At 52.2% G+C, this 5,747-nt stretch overlaps 1 protein-coding gene and 1 long non-coding RNA gene across 3 annotated transcripts in view, besides 1 other annotated feature; both read right to left on the bottom strand.

The window, feature by feature from the left end:
* Window positions 18–227: an enhancer, noted in NCBI's record as "active region_12377". NCBI's record gives its function as "activates an Ori minimal core promoter by ATAC-STARR-seq in GM12878 lymphoblastoid cells {active_cell/tissue: GM12878}" and the evidence as "EXISTENCE:reporter gene assay evidence [ECO:0000049][PMID:35858748]".
* Window positions 84–1,875, bottom strand: LOC124904024 (uncharacterized). Its single transcript, XR_007065837.1, has 2 exons — window positions 1,158–1,875; window positions 84–395 (listed from the first exon to the last, which is right to left on the bottom strand). It is a non-coding gene; the product is annotated as an uncharacterized LOC124904024 (long non-coding RNA).
* ITGA3 (integrin subunit alpha 3) overlaps window positions 4,256–5,747 on the bottom strand; it is a 34,372-nt gene continuing 32,880 nt past the window's right edge. For both annotated transcript variants that reach the window (NM_002204.4, XM_005257308.3), the window contains one exon: window positions 4,256–5,627. The gene's annotated coding sequence lies outside the window, so the exon portion shown is untranslated. The remainder of the gene's footprint in view (window positions 5,628–5,747) is intronic.

Here is a 5,747-nt window from a genome sequence, read left to right as displayed (position 1 = left end):
GCGGAGTTTGCTTTTCCAACTGAAAAACATCCAGAGTAAAAACCATCACTACTAGTGGCGGTGGAGGCAGCAGCTATCGTCCATGCCAGTTAACACTTTCATTTTATTATACAGCTCATCTGACCGAACATAAAGCCTTGGACATCTAGCGCGACCACCTGAGAAAGCCACCTCCTTCGCACCGGGCTTCCTTAGAGCAAGATCCCAGGAGGTGAAGTGTCTCTGGGAGGCCCGGAGCCCGTCCTTCATCAGCGGCCCAGCTTCTCTTGGAGAAAATGTGACGCGCCCTCTTGTGGCCGAATGTGGTATCTCCCATCGTGGGTTTAGGGCCCGACCCGCCACTTTGATGCTTTCTTTGCTCGGTGACATTAGCCTAATACGTGTTAGGCTTTATGCTGGGAACAGGGAACACAGACAGGATCAAGAAATGGCCTTTTTCCTCGATGATTTCATTTCTAAGTTTCAGAGATAGCTACATAAGTAAATAATTAGCTATAACTGAATGTGATTGTAATACAGACCTCACAGAGCAAAGCTTCACATATGGAAGGGCCTCTTAGCTGGATGAATAATAAGCTATATGCCAGGCACTGTTTACAGGCATTATCTCATTTAATTCTCTATTTTATTATTCTTAGCCTCATTTCATAGATAAGAAAACCGAGACTCAGGGATCATTCTCAACTGCAAATCTGACCTTATTACTTCCTTGCTCACAGCCTTTCAATGGGCTATTTTTTTTTTTTTTTTTTTTTTTTTTGAGATTGAGTCTCCCTCTGTCGTCCAAGCTGGAGTGCAGTGGCACAACCTTGGCTCACTGCAAACTTCTCCTCCCAGGTTCAAGCGATTCTCCTGTCTCAGCTTTCCAAGTAGCTGGGATAACAGGCATGTACTACCATGCCTGGCTAATTTTTGTAATTTTAGTAGAGACAGGGTTTCACCATGTTGGCCAGGCTGGTCTTGAATTCCTGACCTCAAGTGATCTGCCCGCCTCAACCTCCCAAAGTGCAGGGATTACAGGTATGAGGCACTGTGCTAGGCCATCAATGGCTCTCTTCTTCTTACTGGAGCCTTTCCAGTTGTCACAAGTCGATTGACTTTTGCTTAATTCTCCAGACTCCTCTCTCTACATTCCCCCATGCAGCTCCCAGCCATACCTGTCTGCTGCCTTGAACCAGCCTCTAATCTCTAAGCCACTGCAAATGCATCTCTTCTGTCTGGATCATTCTTTCTTCCCACCTTCACCTGCCCATTCTTCAGGTCTCAGCTGCTTAGTCATCCCTTCCTCCTGGAAGCCTTCCTTGATCCTGCCAAGCTGGGTTATAGGCTCCCTTCAAGGGCTCCTTAGATCTCCTGGTCTTAGCAAATATTCGCAGTCTGGGTCACTGTCATCCAGACTGGGAATCCACAAGACCCCTTAAGAGAGGACAAGGAAAGATCAGGACATGTGAAACAGGTACCTCGTCGAGGAAAGGGATTGGCTGAAAGCTACCTGGACAAATCCAGGAAGGAGGGGTTAAAAGGAGCTGATGGTAGCTCTTATCAATTGAGTGAAAATTGTTTGCCAACTGATCTGTTTTCCCGCTAGACTTTAAGCTCCGTGAGGGCAGGGCAGGGGTTGTATCTGTCTTATTCACTGCCCTATCTCTAGCATCAGGCAGTACTCAGCACCTAGTAGGGAGGACAGGGTGAAAAAGAAGACAGGGCAAGCAGAGGAGCACACCACAGAGATATTCCAGAGAACCACCAAACATCCACTGGGCTAGCAATTAGGACGTGATTGATGATGCTGGTGAGTGCAGTTTTCAAGTGCACAGAATAATATATAGAATATTATGTACAAAAAAACCTGGCCCTCACTTTGGGAGGCTGAGGTAGGAGGATTGCTTGAGCCCAGGAGTTCGAGACCAGCCTGGGCAGCATAGCAAGATCTTGTCCCTACAAAAAATATAAAATTAGCTGAGTGTGGTGGCATGTACCTATAGTCCCAGCTACTTGGGAGGCTGAAGTAGGAAGATTCCTTGAGCCCCAGAGGTCAAGGCTGCAGTGAGCCAGAGCCATGATTGTGCCACGGCACTCCAATCTGGGTAACTGACTGAGACCCGGTCTCAAAAAAAAAAAAAAAAAAAAAAAAAAAGGCTTATTTCTGTGCCTAGCAATAAATGGTAGCTATTGCTGTTATTGTCAAAATTAAAGTAACAAGGAAAAGGCCGTGGCCTCTAAGGCTAGGTGTAGGAGAGGGAAAGAGATTTCCCATGACCCTCACCTTAGGCTGGACTTCCATAATGTGGGCTCTGTGCTTGGATAAGAACTCTTTCTGCAGAGCCTGCTGCAGGGTGCTAACAGCAGTGGTGTGATGTGGTACATCATAGTCAAGTTTGGTTAGGTGATGCCGAGGTAAACTGCACCCCCACCGATTCCCAAATCTCCCACTATATGTACAGTGTGGGTTGGTGGGGGGGGACTCTCCAAGGAGCTCAAGAAACTTGGCATTGCAGAGGGTTCTTTTACAGTGGGCATTGCTATATCTCTGCCAGTTATGTTTCTTTCATAATATGTAGCTCACGCTAGTTCTGAAAATGACCTATCCTCAAGAGTGTGTGTGTGTGTGGGGGGGGTCTTCCTCAAGCAGTGGCTCACAGGAGACTAGGGGGTCTGTGAAACTGGCCAGAGGGATGTGTCAACACCCCTGTCTTAAGCAGGAAGTGGCTGTAAGGACAAGACTGGGCCGAGCTTTGACAACCCACACATGTTATGCCCAAAGAACTGGATCCCAGATTCTAGAAAATAAAGTGTGGTCTCCATTCACTGGGTTCTGAGAGCTTGGCAGCTCCGGGTAGGGGCTAGGGTTTTCCTTGGGAAAGTGGACATTCCATTGTCAGTCACCCTGGGAAGGGGCAAATCCCGGCACAGAAAGTGAGGAGAGGGAAAGGGGCGGACATTGGGCCCAGAACCCTGTTGTGAGCTGAGCGCTGGTGGAGGGAGGTGGGGCAGGCAGCTGCCACCACAAGGAGGCTGGGAGGCACCCAGGCATCAGGTGGGTCTCCCAGAACAGCCTGGGTCTGTGAGCTCTGAGCATATCTGACCTGGCTTCTACCTCTGCGCTTCTCTGGGTAGCAATTTCCAGCCTCCAGTGAAGTCTTGCCAAAGTTCACAGCCTTAAGGAAAATTAACAGAAGGACCTAGGCCACATTCCAGGTCACAGGGGGAACAGCCTTACTCCATTCCCCAGGCCTGTGTGGAGGGGACAAACCGAGGGCAAAGGAGGAAGCTGCTTTGGGAACCCAGGACATGGCAGGAAGCAAAGCGAAGGCTTGATCCACGTGCTGTTGCCATGTAAGCCAGGCGCTCAAACACTCCCAAGGAGCTTCTGAAAGACCAGAGCTCTCAGCTCCTGGAGGCTGGACCTTGTGACAGTTCAGTCTCTGCAGCCTTGGATCAGTGGTTTACCTTCTGATCTCTTATTGGCGTCTGGTGGTGGTTGTGGGGAAACCAAGGCAGGAAAGCAGGCTCTTACCTGAATTCAGCCCGACTAAGGGCTCTCCTCTCTCCACCCTTGCACCCAGCCTCCCTCCACAGCCTGCCAGGACTGCCTGTTCCTACAGCTGAGTAGCTTTTACCTCTTCCCGACCCTGCACACTGCCACCTCTGCCTGCTCGTCCCTCCCCAGGGTCAGCACGCTGTCCTCCAAGAAGGCGTTCTGGGTTTCATCCAGGTCTCCCAAGGCTTACCCCTCATCTTCTGTTCTGGATCTCTATGACTGACCCTTAGATGAGAGGATTCCTGAGAGCAGGGGCCAGTGTCACCTCCATCAATCTTTTTATTTTTCTTTGAGACAGAGTCTTGCTCTGTCGTTCAGGCTGGAGTGCAATGGCACGATCTCGGCTCACTGCAACCTCTGCCTCCTGGGTTCAAGTGATTCTCCTACTTCAGCCTCCCAAGTAGCTGGGATTATAGGCATGCGCCACTGCGCCCAGCTAACTTTTGTATTTTTAGTAGACACAGGGTTTCACCATGTTGGCCAGGCTGGTCTTGAACTCCTGACCTCAGGTGATCTGCATGCCTTGGCCTCCCAAAGTGCTGGGATTACAGGTGTGAGCCACTGCACCTGGCCACCTCCATCAATCTTTACCCTCAAACCCGCAAGTCCCCAGACCTGGCTTCATCCTACCTAGGTGTTGGCTGGATGATATCATCATCCATTGACCTGGGGTTGGTAAAGGCTGGGGAGTGGGTGGAAGCAGATGCAGCTGCATACAAACTGGGAGCTGTTTATTGGTCGCCGTGAGAAGCCTATATACAAAGAAGGCACAAGGAGGGGGAGGGAATTCCCCTGCTACAGTACCATGGAAGGGGCTGGGGCTGGGGAGTGGGCCTGCCAACAGGCAGGGGTCAGGAGAGGTTTTCTGGAACTAGCCTCAGCTTCTCAAATGGGCCTTAGGACACAGCCCATGGGGGAGGGGGCAGAGCCAGGCTGGCTCTGAAAGCCAAGGATAGCTAAGAACTCCACCTCTAGGCCCCTGACGCATGGTCAGCGTGGGGTCTGGCTGGATGGGGTGGGGCAGGGCCCCCTGCCTATTCTACATTCAAGTGTCGCTCCCTCCGTGGTCTTGCAGGGTCTCTCTGGGGCCTTCTGAGGCTGGCTGGTAGTGGTGAGTGAGAAGTGGCATCTCCTCTGTATCCTCCCAACATCTGTCTGTCCAGAATTGGTCCCCTCCTCTCTGTGGAGGATCCCGCCGTGCCCCAGCACAGTGAGCCCAGGCTACGTTGCCGTTTGCCTGTCTTTGTTCCTTCCTGCTGCATTCCCTGCGAGTTCAGTCTGTGGCCAAGGAGAGAGGCTTCACAGAGATGCAGGAAAGCAAGCCGTTCTGGGTCCTTCTTTCTAGTTCCTTTGCTGTTGGGTCTGAGCACGCCAGGTCCTCCAAGTGCCCCCGTAGACAACCTTAGGCAGGATCCCCACCTCTCTGGCATGGGTGTCATTGGGGGCCCACCAGCCAGCGGCCCGGGGGCTGCTCCCTGTCAGTAGTTTTGACAGCAAAGTCAATCCAGTGACTGTGGCTCAAGATGGATCCAGTGTGAAAGGGGGAGGTGTCACCACATTGCAGGGGCCTTTTCCTCCCGGCTCTGGTGGGAGGCTCTTTGGCTTGTTTTGGCGCTGGCAGAGGCTGAGACACGGCGAGCCCATGCACCATCCGTGATGCACCAGCACAGTCCACGAGCAGTGGGCCCCACGTGCATCTAGGGCACAGGAATGCAGTGCACTCGGCGTTGTAAGGTCCACAGCGCTGGCCCTCCTGTGGGAAGATCCCCAGGGCCAGACAGCATGTGCATGCTCTTGACGAGGTGTATGTGCCTGAGCCTGCTGCTACCAGCCAAAGGTGGTGGCCCCTGTGGACTGTCAGAGGCATAACTTATGATAAATAGGAAGAAAGGGGACACTGGGGGAGGAGGGGGTGGGATCAGGGAGGACGTCAGTAGTATTGGTCCCGAGTCTGCCAGCTGGTCACCCAGTGCTTCTTGGTGGGCAGGGTGCTCCCTGGAGGTGGGTAGCGCTCCTCCTCCCGGATCCGCACTGCGTGGTACTTGGGCATGATCTGATAATAGCGGGTCCGCTTAAAGAAGTCACACTGGAGTTGGAGGGAGAAGAGAAAGAACATTAGCATCCAGAGTTTGAGCCACCAGGAAGGAGTGCCAGGCCTCTCCCTCTCCCACCCAGAACTCCTCAAAGCCAGAACTCTTGACCGAAA

Source organism: Homo sapiens, chromosome 17 (assembly GCF_000001405.40).
Source record: "Homo sapiens chromosome 17, GRCh38.p14 Primary Assembly".
NCBI lineage: Eukaryota > Metazoa > Chordata > Mammalia > Primates > Hominidae > Homo > Homo sapiens.
This window is presented reverse-complemented; position numbering and strand designations above follow the sequence as displayed.